This window comes from Homo sapiens, chromosome 8, assembly GCF_000001405.40.
Source record: "Homo sapiens chromosome 8, GRCh38.p14 Primary Assembly".
Classification (NCBI taxonomy): Eukaryota; Metazoa; Chordata; class Mammalia; order Primates; family Hominidae; genus Homo; species Homo sapiens.
This window is the reverse complement of record NC_000008.11, coordinates 94,845,799-94,866,772: the sequence shown is the minus strand read 5'-3', so window position 1 is coordinate 94,866,772 and position 20,974 is coordinate 94,845,799. Positions and strand designations below refer to the sequence as shown.

The window sequence follows — 20,974 nt, the reverse complement described above, 5'->3', positions numbered from 1 at the left end:
AAGCCAGGCTTCACACATCTAGCCCCTATTATGAAGACTTCTTTACAATTTAAAGAAATACCTGCTCCGTTCACTAAAACATGGTAAAGTAAATGCAATACAAACTTTTCCAGTCAGAATATCCCACCCACCAATAATGATCACTGAAGAAAAGCACATTAACAGGTCACTTTAATAATTTAACCAGAGGCCAGGCAAGGTGGCTAACACCTGTAATCCCAGCACTGTGAGGGGCCAAGAAGGGATGATAATTTGAGACCAGGAGTTAGAAACTAGCCTGGGCAACAAGGGGAGACCTCATCTCTACAAAAAATTAGCTGGGCATGGTTACATGTGCCTGTAGTCCCAGTTCCTCAGAAAGCTGAGGCAGGAGGACTGCTTAACCTCAAGAATTAGAAGACGCAGTGAGTTACAATCACACCTCAGCACTCCAGCTTGGGTGACAGATCAAGACCCTGTCCCTTAAAAAAAAATTAAAAAACAAATAATAATTTAGTCAGTATTTGAAGTACCCAATAATTTTTAGTCATATTCTACAAAAACCAGCAATAGTAATTAGAGCAATTTTTAATAAAACTTACTCGTAATTTTTTGATAAAAGAAAGCAGTTCACTCCTACAAAACAAAAATTTTTGAATACACATTTAATATTAGAAATAAAAAATAAAATCAAGAAAGTAAATTATAGGTGAAGGTTTATTCTTAATGCTCCAATTCTGCAAGTGTGAAAAGGAATGTAATATTCTACTGTTATACTAACCTAATAACATTTCTTCCCTGTTTTAATCACATGTGAAGTCTTCAATACTATCCAACCTTAAATACTACTGATTTTGAATTCCAGTTGATTAAATGATTAATAGTTTCTTAAAATGACATATAAACAAAAGATCTTTCCAAAGGTGGCCAAGGCAGACAGGTTCATCACAGGTGAGTACTACAGAACTCGTAAGATTGTCCAACTTTATGATATACAGAATAAAAGCTGATGTTCTTGAAATCAACCTTTAATAGGTTAATAGTATAAATAGGATAAATATTAAGAACTCAAACACAACTAATAGAAACGTACCAATACATACCGATACATGATACCTAACGTAGATTCCCTCTGTTTTATTAAACTAACTCTGCCATCATTTCCTCGTTTGTGCTGACTGGACACACTACAGATTTGAACAACAACTTCCCAAAGGTCTTTGGCAGTCCGTCTACTTTCTTTAGGGCCTGGAAGTTCTTTGCATGTAGCTGCTAAAAGCTGTCCAAGCTATAACATGAAAAACAAAATACACAAAAGATAATCTGTAATGTCGTGCACATTAGTTCTATTATCAAGGCACACTGGAGGAAAGATGGAATGACTGCCCAAACATACTAAGCACAGTTATTTTATGCTGTGCATTCTGTACAACCTTTGAGGAATTTAGGGCTCATTGCGTACTGACAGATCTGAATCTGAGAAAGATCCTCTGGTTCGAGCATACGAACTTTGTTTCTGAACAGTTATAGTCTAATGAAAACGAAAATGAGACAACGCAAAGAGATAGGTGATTTATTAAGTGGAAAAAAAAACGAGTTGCTAAATACACATAGTATGATCCCACGTTACATAGGGAAAAAAAAGTGTAATGGAAGGCATACACCAAGATGTTAACTGTGGTAAAAGCCCAGGGGGTGAGGTTAAAATAGTGCTCAGATCTCTCTCTCTCCCACGTGCAAATACACACACATACAACTTTTAATCACTAAAAAAAAAAATTGTTTCAACGAAAAAAATAAGGAAAGGAATAAGGAAACTGAAGTTGGCAGAATTAAGGGATATAGATTTAAAGCAATTTTTCTCTAAGAAAATTGGTAGCAACTGGGAATGGAGCTACTGCTCTTCTGAGGAGGTAGAATTAAGGCAGGACAGGTTACACAAAGTGACTGGTATGAATAAAGGCAGCCTCAATGACCTAGGATGTAGGGAGGACCCAGAAATAAAGAGTGGGAAAGCTAAAAGCAAAAGACAGGGAAAGATTGACTTACAATAAATTCAGAATTTCTTTTATTTTCTTTTCTTTTTGGAGGCAGGGTCTTGCTCTGCACCCAGGCTGGAATGCAGTGGTATAATCTTGGCTCACTGCAACCTCCGCCTCCCAGGCTCAAACGATTTTTGTGCCTCAGCCTCCTGAGTAGCTGGAATTACAGGCATGTGTCACCATGCCCGGCTAATTTCTGTATTTTTAGTAGAGACGGGGTTTCACCATGTTGGCCAGGCTGGTCTCGAACTCCTGGCCTCAAGTGATCTATCCGCCTCGGCCTCCCAAAGTGCTGAGATTACAGGCTTGAGCCACAGCATCTGGCCAAATTCAGAACTGGGCCCCTTTACCCTTGTTCATATTAACTTTTATACTCCATCGCTCTTGTAGAGGGTGCAGTAGCAAGGATAATTTCAAATCCATCAGGAACCCCTGGTTTCTACTTAAAATGGACCTAGGGGTCCCTACTGCTTAAGGCGGCTTTTTTAAGGAGGTGGCAAGATTGTGACAAGGACAAAAATTGGTGGTTTTTCTCTACATTTTTTTGTTATGAAAAATTTCAAACAGAAAAATAAAAAAAAAAGTTCAATAAATACCTGACACATTGTGACTATTCTGCCATGTTTGCTTTATATATCTACATAAATTTTTTTGTTAAACCATATTAAACTAAGTTAGACACAATATTTCATCCCTAAATACTTCCACATACATCTTCTAAGGACGAGGACATTCTTCTCCATAACCACAACTCTGTGATCATGCCTAAGAAAATTAACAAGAGTACTGTGGCTTTCCGAAGCTCGTGAGAATAACATAAAAACCCTGCCTATACTAGGTGAATAGACATGGACCAATGGCCTAGCAGGATATTTCATCCTGCAAGCTTACCTAAAATACTCTTCTCTGACAAATGGAATCACAATACATGCAGCTATTCACTGCAGTGTAATGCCAGGGCTACTGTAGCTCTTAGCTCAAATTCATCTTCTGTTGTCAGGGATCATATGCTTTAAGGTCACTGAATTTATTACATAAATTTAATTTAAAAAATTTTCAAAGTCTAAGGCCTCAAATCAATTGAATTCCACAAACATTCTTGAGCACCTACTATGTGTGGTGGGCATCATGGAAAGCACAACATAAAAATTAACTGCCCTGAAGCAGTTCATTGTCTTATAGAGAAGACAAGTGGATATATAACTTACTATTCAGCATAAACACAACAAAAGAAATAAGTCAACAGTACAACAGTAGCAGGATCAGTACAACAGTACAAAGGAAGCAGGAAGAGGAAGTGATTTACTCATTTACAGAGAAAAGAATATGGGAAAGCATCAGAGAAATCACACAAACACGCAAAGCTGGAAAGGACATCCTGGCTAATGTGACAAACAGCGTGTGCACAGGTGCAGAATGGAAACATGGCGTGGGCATGCTGGTGCTGCCAGCACAGGGCTGGAACGCCAAGGGGCAGGGGAACTGCACCTGGAGGAGGAGAAGCATGCACACCTTAAGAAGCCTGGTAGGCCACATGAACAACCTAAGGTTTTAGCCTATACTAGCACCACTGTGGCTGCCAACCCCCCACTACTACCTAGGTTCTTATCATCCAAGTGCCTATAACCTGTGCCCTTTCCATTATGTGACACTGCCACCCACTCTGATCCAAGGGGCAGACTAGACAGTTTTATATTATTTCAAAAGGGTATATTTTAGTGACATGCTTAAGAATTTTCTGTTCCTATTTGTGATTACGTAATATATGAGTAGGAAAATATGTTCCTATGTAACAGAATAGAAAACATTAAAATCACCAAATTTCCCATTATCTAGAGATAATGGCTGTTAATATCCTTTCAGACTTTTTCCTACACGTGTGTGCGTGTGTGTGTGTGGTGCATTCCACACCAGCTTGGAAGTGTGGAAACTGATTCAGATTGTATTTTTTTCAAAACACAATCCCTCATTCTAAACTTCTTTCTCTAATTCCTTTTTCCTTGACATTAACAAGGCAGTGAGAGGCCAATTATGTATGGAAGGTGGCACACAAAACCCTAACCACCAGATGACATATGAAGAGACATCTAAGTGACAATTCTTTCGCAAAGTCACCACACATCCTTCCTCCTTTTGGACCAGATCAGGGGAACTGCAGGAAGCAGTGAGACAGCCTCTCCCAGAGTTAGGCAACCAACAAAACAATTTCCTGTGTCCTTACACATTGCAGACCCTCAAGCATTCATTACACAAACACATGCCTATCTCTCCTGGTGCACAGCTCCACAGAATTCACTGCCAGAGGTAAAGAGAAGAGTTACTATGCTGTCTTTGCACTCAGTGACAAGCTATGATTGTAAGTGTAAATGACAGTAACCTTGGAACACAACGGTTCCCTCATCTGATTTTCTTAAAGGCTAAGAAATTACTGGTGTCCATAATGAGACAAGTGCCCAATATATTAAGAACTCACATGCCAGAAAGTTCACTAAAGAGATAGAAATGATTCAGGTCGGGCACGGTGGCTTATGCCTGTAATCCCAGCACTTTGGGAGGCCCAGGCGGGGGGATCACCTGAGGTCAGGAGTTCTAGACCTGCCATGGCAAAACCCCGTCTCTATTAAAAATACAAAACAAAAAAAAACTACCCGGGTGTGGTGGTGCATGCCTGTAATGCCAGCTACTTGGGAGGCTGAGGCACAAGAATGGGTTGAAACTGGGAGGTAGAGGTTGCAATGAGCCGAGATTGTGCCAGTGCACTCCAGCCTGGGCGACAGAGGGGGACTCAGTCTCCAAAAAAAAGAAGAGATAGATATGATTCAATGTCTGAAATTTCAAAGAAAAGGGTAATTCAAGTATGGCAGTTTTCACGAGCAAGTGTAAAGATAACAAAAAGGGCCGGGCCGGGCGCGGTGGCTCACGCCTGTAATCCCAGCACTTTGGGAGGCCGAGGTGGGCGGATCACCTGAGGTCGGGAGTTCAGACCCGCCTGACTAACATGGAGAAACCCCATCTCTACTAAAAATACAAAATTAGCCAGGCGTGGTGGTGCGTGCCTGTAATCCCAGCTACTCGGGGGGCTGAGGCAGGAGAATTGCTTGAATCTGGGAGGCAGAGGTTGCGGTGAGCCGAGATCGTGCCATTGCACGCCAGCCTGGGCAACAAGAGCAAAACTCCGTCTCAAAAAAAAGGGCCGGGCTCGATGGCTCACGCCTGTAATCCCAGCACTTTGGGAGGCCAAGGCGGGCAGATCACGAGGTCAGGAGATTGAGACCATCCTGGCTAACACGGTGAAACCCCGTCACCACTAAAAATACAAAAAATTAGCCGGGCATGGCAGTGGGCGCCTGTAGTCCCAGCTACTCGGGAGGCTGAGGCAGGAGAATGGCGTGAACCCGGGAGGCGGAGCTGGCAGTGAGCCGAGATCGCGCCACTGCACTCCAGCCTGGGCGACAGAGCGAGACTCCGTCTCAAAAAAAAAAAAAAAAAAAAAAATTACAAAAAGGGGGGAAAAACTGAAGAAATCAATAAACTCAATAAATCCTGAAAGGGTTAAAATGAAATGAGCTCAGTTTTTAAAAGGACATACGTGAAGGAAGAAACAAGTAACCAAACACAAATGTTACAAAGTGGCACAGTTTTACAAAAGTTCCCAGAAAAACACAGATTTAAAGGATTTTTTTTTTTTTTTTTTTGAGACAGAGTCTCACTCTGTCGCCCAGGCTGGAGTGCAGTGGCGCCATCTCGGCTCACTGCAAGCTCCGCCTCCCGGGTTCATGCCATTCTCCTGCCTCAGCCTCCCGAGTAGCTGGGACTACAGGAGCCCGCCACTACGCCCGGCTAATTTTTTTTGTATTTTTAGTAAGGACGGGGTTTCACCTTGTTAGCCAGGATGGTCTCCATCTCCTGACCTCGTGATCTGCCCGTCTCGGCCTCCCAAAGTGCTGGGATTGCAGGCGTGAGCCACTGCACCCAGCCGATTTAAAGGACTTTGTATTACCAAAGACAAGTTGGGACAAACAAAGAATAACAAAAGGTAATAGGAACAATTAAAAATAATGGGAAAATCTGAAGCACCAAATATACCCAAAAAGGAGACAGGGACGTATAATGTTAAATCACTACATGTTTTACTTTGTTTTTTGGGTTTTTTTTTTTTTTTTTTTTTTTTTGAGGTAGAGTTTCGCTCTTGTTGCCCAGGCTGGAGTGCAATGGCACCATCTCAGCTCACGCAAACTCTGCCTCCCGGGTTCAAGCGATTCTCCTGCCTCAGCCTCCTGAGTAGCTAGGACTACAGGCACCTGCCACCACACCTGGCTAATTTTTGTATTTTCAGTAGAGACAGGGTTTCACCATATTGGCCAGGCTGGTCTTGAACTCCTGACCTTGTGATCCGCACGTCTTGGCCTCCCAAAGTGCTGGGATTACAGGCGTGAGCCACCACGCCCAGCCTACTTTGTTTTTTTTTTAACTGTAAAACCAGAAAGTGAGAAAAACCCACTACTTACTCAGAGTGTGTATAATATTAACACATGAAAGATATAATCTTAGAAAAAACCTCCAGTTTCTTATTAGTTTTGATATTTTCTGTACTCAGAAGCATTTTAGGTTGCAAAGGATATAATTAAGACAACAAAATAACTTAGTGCCAATTTACTGAATAAATTCTTTCACTAGGGGAATAATTACTAATAGCAAACCTATTGGAGATTCAGACATAGCAAACTTAGAAGGATAAAATTCTAAAGAAGAATAAAGTGTTCAAATGGAAACAAGGAGAAGTGCATCCCTGACGGACTCCATCAGTTCTAGAGTGTGATTAGAGCAACCAAAGCAAAGAAAGCGAATCTCTCATTACTTAGGATTACACCAATGTGTTATCTGTTAACTAAATAATCTGTGACTACATGCTCATGAATTACAGGGCATTAGAAAGAAATATTAGAACAAGGTCAAGTGCATGAATTATCAAAAACTCTATCCTTTAACTACAAATCAACAAGCATTTGTCCAATCATTTGTATCACAGAAATTAGACAAGTTCCCAAAGTAGTATAAAGTTAAAGAAACAAGTATAATAATACCATCCTAACAATCCTTTTATTTAAACATTAACTACCTTTACATATGGATTACTCTGAAGCAAAAATGCAGGAACTTGGAGTGTAAGGTATTCATTTTCTCTCCAGTTTAACATAAAGGCAACACATTCCTCAGCTATAACTTGACGAAGAGGAATATCTAAAAAGCAAAGAAGAAAACAGTTGGAATTACCATCACAACATTAAAATAGGAACAAAGCAAATACTTGCTCAGATTTCAACTGAATAAAAAAACAGGACGGGTATGGTGGCTCACACCTGTAATCCCAACACTTTGGGAGGCCAAGGCAGGAGGATCACTTGAGGCCAGGAGTTTGAGACCAGCCTGGGCAACAGAGTGAGACCTTGTCTCAAAAATAAAATTTTGTAGAGACAGGGTCTCACTCTGTCGCCCAGGATAGAGTGCAGTGGTGTGATTATGGTTCACTGCAGCCTTGAGCTCCCAGGCTCAAGCGATCCTTCCACCTCAACCTCCCCAAGTAGCTGGGACCACAGGTCCCACCACACCTGGCTAATGCTACCACACCTGGCTAATTTTTGCATTTTTGTAGAGATGGGGTCTCACTATGTTGTCCAGGCTGGTCTCGAACTCCTGGACTCCAGTGATCTGCCCGCCTCGGACTCCCAAAGTGCTGGGATTATAGGCGTGAGCCAGCATGCCCAGCCTCCTTCTTATTTTAAACACTGTTTATAAGCATAAGCTATAGGACAAGTTGCTGAACATTTAATAAGTTAGGAGTTTACAAAAATTATATGCAGAGCTATCAGTCCTTTACCCTCCCTATCCCCAAAAAAGTGATGTGAACTACAAACTGTTCAGCCAAAAAGGTAGCACAAAGAGACTAATGATTTAAAGGAACTTTCACCCATTCAAAGAGTAAGAGCACAGGCTTTGAAGCTGGGCTGGAGTACAGTCATAGTTCTGTCTCTTCCTGTGTGACTGTGGGCAAATTCCTCAACCTCTCTGCACCTCGGTTTCTTAGTTACAAAATGGGGATAAGGAAACAGTAGCTACTTCACAGAGCTGCTATGAGGACTAAATGAGTTATGCACCTGAAGCTTAGAACAATGCCTGACACGTAGTTAGCACTCAACAAACATTAGGGTTTAAACATTCTTTCTCATTTTAGAAAACCATGTATGGAAAACCTACCTCCCACTTTTAAAAAGTAAATATGTATACAGCAGCATGCATCCTTTAGTGCCAGCATATTATTAGATCAATCCTCATGAAGACATTACAATATTTAAGAGCACTGATGTGTTAAAGCTCAAAGGCATTCTCTCTATAGGGTACTAAAAAGTTATGATCTATAACTGCATGCCCCTGCTGGAAATTAGACTTTAATTAGAAATTAAATTAACCCATAGGACTCAAGACGGTAGCACTTGCTTCTGTTCTGACACATTACTATCACCTTCCTTTTATAATGCAATTCCACTGTTTATACTATTAAATGTGTACAGTATGATTTAATTGCTCTAAATACTTCTAAAGCAGAAAAATAAGAAACGGCTTTAACTAAGAAAGATTTATGTGTCGTAGATGATCATTTATATGGTAAGCCCCTTTTCATAGTAAGACATTTACAATTAGAATTAAACACTCAAGATCTGTTCCTAAAGTAGCCACAAGTGAATTTCTAGCCCACTGGCAATCAGTGTGAAGGCATTTTATGGCTGTAACAAGGAAATAAAACTTCAATCTGTACACTCAAGGACATTTTGATTCTTTCAAACACCTGAACATTGCAATATAGTTTCTCTAGTGTGTAGAAGTATCCCCCAAAATTCATGTGTATCTGGAACCTGAGAACGTGACCTTATTTGGAAATAGTCTTTGCAGATGTAATTAGCTATGATGAAGTCAGCTGGATTAGGGCAGAACTTAGATCCAATGACTGGTGTCCTTGTAAGAAGAGAACACAGACATACACAGGGGGAAGGCCATGTGAAGACAGCAGCAGAGACTGGAGCAATGCAGCCCAAGCCAAAGATTGCTGGGTCACCAGAAGCTAGGAAGACGCAAGGAAAGAGTCTTTCTTGGAGCCTTTGGGGGCAGCACAGCCCTGCAGACATCCTGACTTCAGACATCCGGCCTCCAGAACTGGGAGATAATATATTTATGTTGTTTTAAGTCACCCAGTTTGTGGTACCTTGTTACAGAAATCCCAGAAATGAACAGTTTCCTTCATTTTTCCCAATGTTCTCCAGTGAACACCAAACCCAAATTCTGTTTTAGGAGTGAAATAACTTTTTTCAAAGATGATAAAAACTCAGCTGGGCATGGTGGCTCATGCCTCTAATCCCAGCACTTTGGGAGGGCGAGGAGGGTGGATCACCTGAGGTCAGGAGTTCAAAACCAGCCTGGCCAACATAGTGAAACCCCATCTCTACAAAAATACAAAAATTAGCCAGGCATGATGGTGGGTTCCTTTAATCCCAGCAACTGAGGAGGCTGAGGCAGGAGAGTCACTTTAACCCGGGAGGCAGAGACTGCAGTGGGCCGAGATCGCGCCATTACACTCCAGCCTGGGTGACAGAGCTACACTCCATCTCAAAAAAAAAAAAAAAAAAAGATTACAAACTCAAATAAATCTGCTTTTAAATTTTCCCCCACAATTATGTGAGTACTGAGTTTCTGAAATTTGTCTTTGTGAACCAGTCTTACCAGGAAGCCTCATTTCCAGATAGCCTCGTACTCTACTTATAAGGTCGGATGGCGGTCTCTCTCCTGCCTGCCCTGTCCCAGCTTCGTGTGTATGAATATCCAAAAGCAACATCTCATTCAGCATGACCTGACGAAGCTTCGGTGAGAACTCTGTTACCAACTCCAAACAAGCAGCAAAGAGCTGTTTAGCATGGGAAAAGTCCTATGAAAAGAAAAAGAATAGCCTGGGTCACCTTTCCTTTGGCGCCAAAAAATGTGTGCCTTTATGTTGACAGAGCAAAGAGGAGAAGGATTATTTCAAATGGTTAACGTTGCTTTTCTCAGGCAGTAAGGCTAGATAGTATTTTCATCTCTGTATTGTTGATTTATTCCAAAAAATATTTAATAACTTTGTAATTTTAAAAAATCCAATAAACAATATAAAATACTTATATTATTATGCAACTTTTATAAAAGTTATAAGATAACCAAAGACTTCTGTATTACACAGGTGTAAATTCTATAACAAGCACCCTCCTCCATCCAACATATTCAGAATTAGACCTTACACCATTCAAGGGTTACACATTCCAAAATCTTTGCACACCACCGTACTAGACGATAAAATTGGCTAACAAATAAAATGAAATAAATCAGCTATGATCCAAGTCCTTTCCTATGCATCTCTTATGTTTCCAAAGACTATATTCTATTGCTCCACATATTTCATTCACTCCCATAATCTGGCTTCTACCCCCATCATTACAAAGAAGTAACTCTCACAAGCCAAAGATCTTTTAATTGTCCAATCTACTGAACACTGTTATCTTACAGGAATTAGGGGCTTCAACTCAGTGCTATGTATTGCCCTTTTCTTGACATTTTCTTTTCCCCTAGCTATTCTACATTTGTGTGGTCCTCACACCCATCACACCACTATTTCTTGGACCTAGTATTGCATTCCCTAGGGTCTCACGCTCTTTATATTCTCTCTGGGTGATCTTTGGTAATTCCCAAATCTGTAACTCCAGTCCAGACCATTCTCCAAGCTTTAGGCTGTTTCCAACTGTAGCTTCAAATTAAAATTGTAAAAATAAACTCATAATCTGCCCTGCAAAAATGTGTTTCTGCACATTCACTTGCTGGTATTGCCACTTGTTCTCTGACTCTCGAACCGGAAGTCTGAGCATCATGCTCAATTCTTTCTCCCTATCTTGCCTTCCACATTAAGTCAGTTGCCAATTGCTTCCAGATTTTACCTCCTAAATATTTCTCTAATATGTTCTCTTCTCTCTATCCCTTGTAACACTTGTGACACTTACTAGCTGTGTGCCCTTGGACAATTTAACACCTTTAAAACTGAGATAATACCTTCCACAAACTTTTTGTGAATAAATGAAACAATAAATGTATATGAAATTTCAGAAGTCTCTGTGCCCAGTAAATGTTATGTTAGGTGTAGAAGGAGATAAAGCTGCTAACTACATTCCTCCTATTAAAACTTTTCAATGGCTTACAATTGTCTCATGATGCATTGTCTAATATGGCAGCCACTAGATAAGATGTGGCTACTGAGCATGTGAAATGTGACTAGTCCAAGTTGAGATTCTATAAGTATAAAATACTTACTGGATTTTGAAGACTTAGCACATACATTTTCAAAAGAATGCAAAACATCCCAACTTTTTATATCGATTACACATTGAAATTAGACATACTGAGTTAAATAAATCATTTCAATCAACTAAACTTTTTTATGAAATTACAGATTACATATGTGGCCTACATTATGTTCCCACTGGACAATGATGGTCTAGAGCAGCAGTTCTCCAACTTTAGCATGCAACAGAATTACTTTGAGGGCTTATTTAAAAAGATGTTGGGCCCCATCCCAGAATTTCTGATCCATTAGGTCTAGGACAGGGCCCCAAAATTTTTATTTCCAGCAAGTTCCAGCCACGTGCAGTGGCTCATGCCTGTAATGCCAGCACTTTGGGAGGCTGATGTGGAAGGATTGTTTGAGCCCAGGAGTTTAAGATCAGCCTGGGCAAAATAAGGAGATGCTGTCTCTGCAAAAAAAAAAAAAAAAAATTCTTTCAAATAAGCTGGGCATGGTGGCACATGCCTGTGGTTCCAGCTACTTAGGGGGCTGAGGTAGGAGAATTGCTTGAGCCCAGGAAGTCGAGGCTGCAGTGAGCCATGATCATGCCACTGCACCCCGGTCTGGGCAACACAGCAACACCCTGTCTCAAACAAAAAGTTCCCAAATGTCACAGGTGCTGCTGGTGTGGGGATGTAGTTAACTTATTTAAGCCTCAATTTTAGTTCATTTCTGCCTTCCAAATGCTGCCTTTAACCTTCCTAAAGAACTCAGTGTATGATCAGTCACGCAACTGCACTATCTTATGTGATTTAACATTCCACTTATGTCTCAACATCCCAGACTGCAAACTCATGTAAAATACACTACAAAAGTATATTTTTAGAAAGTTTGTTTTTTAATCTTGGTACACAATCTTTACTAGCTGAATCCTAAAGAATACAAATAATATCTTTGCATGTTCTCTCAACTTTTAAAAAGGCACAGAGCAGTATTCATTTGATCAAGACCATTTTAGTATAATTATAACGGTAAAGCAAAAAGAACAAACCAAAATGCCTTTTTAAATATCCTTTTAGGCCTATGACTGTGACTTTAAAGATTAGGAAAAGATTAGGAAAAGGTAAGTTCTGGTTCCTGACTTCCTGCTAAAATTAGTAAAGCATATTCTTTTCTTTTTTTTTTTTTTTTTCCGAGATGGACTATCACTCTGTCACCCAGGCCGGAGTGCAATGATGCAACTCCAACCTCCACCTCCCATGAGATTCTCCTGCCTCAGACTCCGAGTAGCTGAGATTATAGTCACCCGGCTAATTTTTGTATTTTTAGTAGAGAGAAGGTTTCACCATGTTGGCCAGGCTGGTCTTGACCTCAGTTGATCTGCCCACCTCAGACTCCCAAAGTGCTGGTATTACAGGTATGAGCCACGGCACCTGACCATAAAGCATATTCTTAACAAGTGTTTGATACACACTTTTACTCACCTTAACAGTACTGCAGTGCAAACCTTTGGCCATAAGAATATAAACCAAATCTCTTGTTAAATTGTCTTTAATTCCCAGGATAACACCACTATAGACAGAAGGTACTTCCCACTAAAAGAAACAAAAAATACATATATATATGCACACATAGAGGAAGCCAAATCTAGATAAGAATCTTTCAACAATCTTCAATCGCATTTAAAACAAATAACTCACGGGTCGTCTCTTAAAGAGAAAGGAAAATGACAGCCATAATATAACACTAACGAAAATGAACACATTCGCTACAATCAACAAGTAATAAATAATGGACTGGGATTACTATTAGGAAAAAAAGGCACACAAAGACTAGGAGTTTTATATATATTAATTCAGGTAATCCTCACAACAATATCAAGGTAAGTACTATTATGCTACTACTGTCATTTTGCAAATGAGAAAACTGCAACACAAAGAAGTTAAATAACTTGTTCAAGATTATACGGCTATTTAAGTATGAAGCTGGCATTCAAGCTTAAGCACGCGGTTAGTCCCAGAATCCCCTATCATAACTATCATGCTATACTTGTTCATCTTAAAAATTTTTGGTTTGTTCTTGATTTTTGAGATAGAGTCTCGCTCCGTCACCCAGGCTGGAGTGCAGTGGCGTGATCTCTGCTCACTGCAATCTCTGCCTCCCAGGTTCAAGTGATTCTCCTGCCTCGGCCTCTCAAGTAGCTGGAAATACAGGTGCGCGCCACCATGCCCAGCTAATTTTTATATTTTTAGTAGAGACGGGGTTTCGCTATGTTGCCTAGGTTGGTCTTGAACTCCTGGCCTCAAGTGATCCACCCATCTCAGCTCCCCAAAGTGCTGGGATTACAGGCAATGAGCCACTGCACCTGGCCTTCATCTTAAAAATTCACACTAATAAATAGCATCAATGCTAAAAAAAAGCCCAACTAATTTTTAGAGCAATTTTTTATTTTCTCTCTACTAGTATGTTTAAACCCAATTTTTAAAAATACAGGTCGGGCACAGTGGCTCATGCCTATAATCCCAGCACTTTGGGAGGCTGAGGCAGGCAGATCACCTGAGGTCAGGAGGTCAGGAGTTCGAGACCAGCCTGACCAACATGGAGAACAACATGGAGAAACCCGTATCTACTAAAAATACAAAATTCATCAGGCATGGTGGGGGCATGCCTGTAATCCCAGCTACTCGGGAGGCTGAGGAAGGAGAATTGCTTGAACCCGGGAGGCGGAGGTTGCAGTGAGCCAAGATCGCACCATTGCACTCCAGCCTGGGCAACAATAGTGAAACTCAGTCTCAAAAAAAAAAAACAAACCATACATTTCTGGCTGCCTTTTTACTACATCTTCAGCAGGGGAGGAGTAAGTATGTAGTTAGTTACGAGCATTACCATATTGCTTTAATTTCTCCTGTATCTGTCGATTACTTCCCTTGTATCTCTAAGCTACATTCCACTGAAATGGTGTTTTAAAAGCTATTTTTATTTGCACTTTCTATGCTGGAAAACTTTCTAATAGATAAACTCAGAAACAGGTAAATGTATTAGCTGGGAGTTTTTAAAGGAACATTTAAAGCCAAAAATGTTCCATAATGAAGCATTATGCTACAGAATGCATAAATAATATACCATTTACATATATTTACAACTATATTTAAAATGCAGCCAGACGTGGTGGCTCACACCTGTAATCCCAACACTTGGGGAGGCAGAGGCGGGTAGATCACTGGTGGTCAGGAGTTCGAGATCATCCTGGCCAACATGGTGAAACCCCATCTCTACTAAAAATACATAAATTAGCCGGGCATGGTGACAGGTACCTGTAATCCCAGCTACCAGGGAGGCTGAGGCAGGAGAATCACTTGAATCTGGGAGACAGAGGTTGCAGTGAACCAAGATTGCACCACTGCACTCCAGCCTGAGCGACAGAGTGAGATTCTGTCTCAAAAAACAAATGAATGAAATAAAATGCGTATATTTTGTCAACAAATGGAAAAACTCATTTTTAGATGTTACTCATTTAATGGTATCTTTTTGTTTCTGACATTTCCTATTTTCTCTGTCAATGGATGTTAAAAATGCAATTATGTTCATATGAAGGTCTTAAAACTGTTAAGTAAGAGGTCCTTATTATCAAAAAGGTCAGGGAACAGCTTTTCTATTAAATTACCTCAGAAAACAAGGGCAATTTTCTTATCTGTTCTTGACATAGGGTTTACCTTATTAGACACTGTCCAGAACTGGCGCTCTGAAGTCATACCATGTAATTCAATTAAAATTTGTCTAATCCTCCAAGGATCCACTGACAATATAAGTTGATGCTCTAACTGACCAATGTTGACACTTGCTGAAGCTAAAAAAAGATTTATATTTCAATGATTTAATTCAAAGATATACACGAGAATAACAATTTACTTAAAATTATGTATTTTGTATTATATCTATAAATTAAAAGCTGCTATCATCTTGAGAACTGATGCATTCAACATTGTATAAATTACACATTAACTTTATCCTCACACAGAAAACCTAACAAAATTTTACTATATCTACATTTAATAAATGAATGCATTTTAAAAATAAAGATAATGAAAATATAAACAAGATAAAAATCAATATTTCATGCAAAGAACTATGTGGAATATATGAAAATAATTAACTTACAGACTTATACACAACTTATACACTACTTTTGAATATAATGTGTTAACAGAAGCATATATAAAATGTTAATTTTGAGTAATAAACATTAAGCATGTGTTTTATGAGAGAAAGGGGCATGCTCTTCCCAGAGAACCAAAAATGATTACCAAAATCCCTAATTACAGCTCAGATATCAGATACGGTCTTCAATAATGCATTTCCAGCATTTCTGTGTTAACCTTACCCTTTTCCTTTACAACTGGACATTCAACCAGTTTAAATCTAGTGAAGGTCAAAGAAGCTAAAAGTTTGCTTTTGTTAAACCAATCGAATTCTCTCTCATCTATATTAAATGTTGAAGTTTATGTTTCTTATTTAAAAACAGCATTGTATTTTCTACTTATATTTGTAAGGGCAAAAATGGAAAAAAAAATCAAACAAGGCAAAAACAGCAATACTGCCAAGCTGTTCAGTCAGCAGATACTAGCACAGTGATATAGACTGACATGCACGAAAATCTGTCCTCTTTTTGGTCCCAGCATTTCTCACCACTCCTCTCCTGCTTTCTGTTTTTACCTCCATGAACATACTGGCAGCAGTGTTACCTTGGTCTATTTCTCCGGTGAAAATCTTTTTTTTTTTTTTTTTTTTGAGTCGGAGTCTCGCTCTGTCACCCAGGCTGGAGTGCAGTGGCGCAATCTTGGCTCACTGCAAGCTCCGCCTCCTGGGTTCACGCCATTCTCCTACCTCAGCCTCCAGAGTAGCTGGGACTACAGGCGCCCACCACCATGCCTGGCTAATTTTTTGTATTTTTAGTAGAGGCGGGGTTTCACCGTGTTAGCCAGGATGGTCTCTATCTGCTGACCTCGTGATCCGCCCGTCTTGGCCTCCCAAAGTGCTGGGATTACAGGCGTGAGCCACCACGCCCAGCCTTCCCCAGCTAAAATCTTTTATGTATCTAGGACTGAATCTGTACTAATCATTGGCTTGGCAGAGCTCCAGAGCATAACTGCTTATACAGAAATCTGATACGGAAGACAGGTGAATTTCTATTAATTACCAACACAAGTGTTAATTAAAACAAGAGAGAATCCTCAAATATATTTCAAGGTTAATTTGAATAGAGGGGCAAAACATGCCAACATTTTGGCTGGCCGACTAGAGAGCTAACCTGGGATATCATAAAATGAAGTTACAGGTTTAATGCACAGATTTACTCTAGGGGATCTCTTCCTCATCTGATCAACAAGTAGCTTTCGTTCTTCATCTTTCAACAATGTAATGAAAAGCTCATGTGAAGAAATCATGAAAACATACTGCAGATCTTCCAACCCCAGACACACATTCCTAGATCAGTAAGAAATATTGTAAAACAAAAAAGTGTATAATTTAGTTTGAGAAAAACAATCATATCAACCAATTTTAATAAGCCATTTAAAAAGCCACCATTACATAAACTGTATAATGATATTTTAAAATAGATTTTAAAATTTCCCTTTGGTCCTTATTTAAAATTGTGATGTCAATGCCACAATATTAAAAAAAGGTAACTATATAATCCTAATGTCTCACGTGGCTATACAAATTTGAACTTAATGGGTTCTCAAACACCAGTTACTGCCTGGTTAAAAGATACCCAAGACAAAAACAAAAGATAATACAGATATTTTGTTCACAGGACTAAGTTCAAAGTTAAAAAAAAAAAGAAAAAAGAAAAGAAAGGTACTTACTTTAGAAAAGCAGCCATGTTTCCTTTCAAAGACTCTGAAGCTTTTTCTAAATTTACTGATCTTGAACATACCTAGGAATTTGAGTAATTTTCATTTGAATATGGGTACTTATAAAAATGTAAATTATAATTTGAAAAGGCTGGATTTAAAAACAACTGAATTTTCCTTTTTCAACAATGTACCAATCACAGATTTAGTTAAGTAACTTAACAGAAGAGACCAGACCAAGGAATAACAATCCATCACAAAGAGGGAATGGAATGTGACCATTTTAATAAGTGCAGGTGTATACATGTAGCAAAGAATAACCTAGTTACCATGCTATACAGTTCTCACAGAATTTATCAACTATGTTGCCAAATTATATTAAGTGATAAACCATAGAAATCAGTAGCTCCTGTCAGAAAAGAGTTAAAAAAATAAAAAATTTTTAAAACCAAAAAGAAAATAATTGAAAAGAGTAAGTGATTTATCATGAATATAGAACTAATGGTTCTATATTCATGAGCTATTCATGAATAGTTAAAAAGGTAACCAAGGTTTAAAAAGTAAACAATGCAAACAAAGAATAGAAACTAGTTATGGTCATATTAGTTATCTACAAATAATATTTTCATATTATGTTGAATTTATTCATTAGATTAGGATTCCTCCTAATATATTATTTATAAGAAGCCAAAATAAAATATAACTAGTGTAAAAGTCCATAATCTCAAGAAATTGCTAAATATTTTTTACGTTGACACACACACAAAATAGAATGTTCATAGTAGTATTAATCATAGTAGCCAAAAAGTATAAGTAACCTGCAGTCTACCAACTGATGAATAAACACACAAAATACAGTATATATCCATTCAATTAAGTATTATTCAGCCATAAAAAGTGAAGTACTGATACATGCTACAATATTGAAAACGTGCTAAGAAGCCAGTTACAAAAGATCATCTATTTCATAGTTCCATTTACATAAAATATCCAGAACAGATAAATCTATAGAGAAATTAGATTAGTAGTTGCCTCAGGTGGTGCGAGATTGAGGGAAAATGAAGAGTGACAGGTAATGAATAAGAGATTATCTTTTTGGAGTGAAAAAAGGAAGTGAAGTGATAGCTGCACAACTCTAGGAATACACTAAAACGCACTGACTTATACACTTTAAATGCGTGAACTGTATGGTATGTGAATTATATCTTGATGAAACTGTTATTAAAAAAACAGGCTTGGTGCGGTGGCTCCTGCCTCTAATCCCAGCACTTTGGGAGGCTGAGACAGGTGGATCACCTGAGGTCAAGAGTTCCAGATCAGCCTGGCCAACATGGTGAAACCTCGTCTCTACTAAAAATACAAAAAAAATTACGTGGGCATGGTGACACGGGCCTGTAGTCCCAGCTACTTGGGGAGGCTGAGGCAGGAGAATCACTTCAACCCAGGAGGCAGAGGTTAGAGTGAGTGGAGATCAGGCCACTGCACTCTAGCCTGGGAAACAGAGAGAGACTCCATCTCAAAAAAAAAAAAAGCAGTGTTTTAAAAGTGCTATGTTCAAATACCATTTTCTGATTAACAAATTAACCTATCAGTAAATAACATCTGAGCATCTTGGAGTATGTATTATACACTTACATTCTAATAACTTTGTTTCTTTGCTGCCATATGTAAATATCTTATGGTGAGTAATAAATATCTGAGTCTCCTTTTACAACAGATTATTTATTCACATAGTGAGAAGCTTTGTACATGTGTCATGGAACAATGTAGGGAACATGTAACTTCTAATAAGCAAACCTAACAGATCATGTTATGTGAATTTCATGCACTTCAATTTAAAAAAAGAAAAACTCAAACTAGTGGGCATCTCTGTAGATGCTTTAATATTAAAATAATAAATTTTAATACTAATAAACTTAAGATGAAATGGACAAATCCTTAGAAAATAACTTCTTAAAACTAACTCTAGAAAAACGAGAATATAGTTCTATGATCACTGATCAAAAACCTTCCCACAAAAAAATTACCCAGGCCCAGACTTTACTGGTAAATTCTACCCAACACTGAAAGAAGCAATGACTTCATTTTTACACAAACTTTTCCAGACAATAAAAAAGACAGATGCCTCAACTTATTTATAAGGCAAGCATGACCTTGACACCAAAATCAAAGGAAGGACAAGAAAGAAAAAAATGTGTGCATCGGCCAGGTGTCATGGCTCACACCTGTAATCCAGGCACTTTGGGAGGCAGAGGTGGGAGGATCACTTGAGGTCAGGAGTTTGAAACCAGCCCAGCCAACATGGTAAAACCCCGTCTCTAATAAAACTACAAAAAAATTAGCTGGGCATGGTGGTGGGTGCCTGTAATCTCAGCTACTGTGGAGGCTGAGGCAGGAGAATCACTTGAAGCTGGAGAGGGAAGTTGTAGTGAGTCAAGATTGCGCCACTGCACTCCAGTTTGGCCGACACAGTAAGACTTCGTCTCAAAAAATAAAAAAATAAAAATATGTGCATCAATCTCATACATGAATGTAGAAAAAAAATCTTCATATATTGGCAAACCAAGTTCAGCAATTTCTATTAAAAAACGATCATGACCTAGTTGGGTCTATTCCAGACATGCAATGGTGGTTTAACACTTGAAAATCAATTATACTTTATCACATGAACAGGTAAGGAGAGAAATTATGTGACCATTTCAACAGACACAGAAAAAGCATTTAATACAATCTAAAAATAATTCGTTATTTTAAAAACAGGACCTTCAGTGAACTAAGGAGAGAAGGGAACTTCCTTAATCAGATAAGGAATAGCAACAAGAAAAACCTACAATAAACATCATTCTAAATGGTGAAATAGTGCAAGCTTGCTTTCTGAGACTGGGAGTGAGACGAGGCAGTTCTCTATTCCCACTTCTACTGAACACTGTACTGGAGGTAATAGCCAGCACATTAAGAATAAGTAAAAAGAGGCTGGGTGTGGTGGCTCACACCTGTAATCCCAGTAATCTGGGAGGCTGAGGCGGGTGGATCGCCTGAGGTCAGGAGTTCGAGACCTGCCTGACCAACATGGAGAAACCCCATCTCTACGAAATATACAAAATTAGCCAGGCGTGGTGGCACATGCCTGTAGTCCCAGCTACTCAGGAGGCTGAGGCAGGAGAATTACTTGAACCTGGGATGCAGAGGTTGCGCCAAGCAGAGATCACGCCATTGCACTGCAGCCTGGGCAACAAGAAAGAAACTCCATCTCAAAGAAAAAGTAAAAATAAATCAAAAATAAAAGGTTAGAAAAGGAATAAACAAAATGCATTCTTCACAGATGACTGCATACATAGAAAAATGGAAAAAAATATGAATAGAATTTTTAAAAGCTAAGCAAAGTTGTTGGATACAAAATTATTAGAAAGTTAAATTATACCTCTGTATCAATGCATAAACTATTTTCAAGTCTACATTTTAAGAACTATTTAAAAATTTAAGACTTCTATGGAAAAATTAGGAAGTTCTAAAGGACACTAAAGACTGCCTAAAGAAATCAAGAGCCATCATACCCGTTCATGGATTAGGACACCCAATAATGTAAACATGTAAATTCTTAGGGGTCTCCCTAAGCATACTTTGGCTTAGGAGGCCGCCCATAAAATTTTTTCTAATAAAGAAAAGAGACATAATTTCTTTCTAAACTGGCTTCTAAATTTAATGTAATTCCAAACAAAAATCCAACAGATTTGTGGAACTTGACA

General features: G+C 38.9%; 1 protein-coding gene across 5 annotated transcripts in view; it reads right to left on the bottom strand.

The window, feature by feature from the left end:
• The window catches only part of INTS8 (integrator complex subunit 8), a 58,460-nt gene that overhangs the window by 14,974 nt on the left and 22,512 nt on the right, over positions 1-20,974 (bottom strand). For 3 of the 5 annotated variants that reach the window (NR_073445.2, NM_017864.4, XM_047421952.1), the window contains 8 exons: positions 17,241-17,311; positions 16,682-16,857; positions 15,087-15,220; positions 12,858-12,968; positions 9,795-9,996; positions 7,141-7,262; positions 1,083-1,267; positions 582-615 (listed from right to left, as the gene is read on the bottom strand). Coding sequence is in view for 3 of the 5 variants with exons in the window: in NM_017864.4 (NP_060334.2) it covers positions 582-615; positions 1,083-1,267; positions 7,141-7,262; positions 9,795-9,996; positions 12,858-12,968; positions 15,087-15,220; positions 16,682-16,857; positions 17,241-17,311 (1,035 nt within the window). In the remaining 2 variants the exon portion in view is untranslated. Of the gene's footprint in view, positions 1-419; positions 462-581; positions 616-1,072; positions 1,268-7,140; positions 7,263-9,794; positions 9,997-12,857; positions 12,969-15,086; positions 15,221-16,681; positions 16,858-17,240; positions 17,312-20,974 lie in introns of all 5 variants that reach the window. The other 2 variants (NR_073444.2, XM_047421951.1) reach the window with 2 other exon arrangements.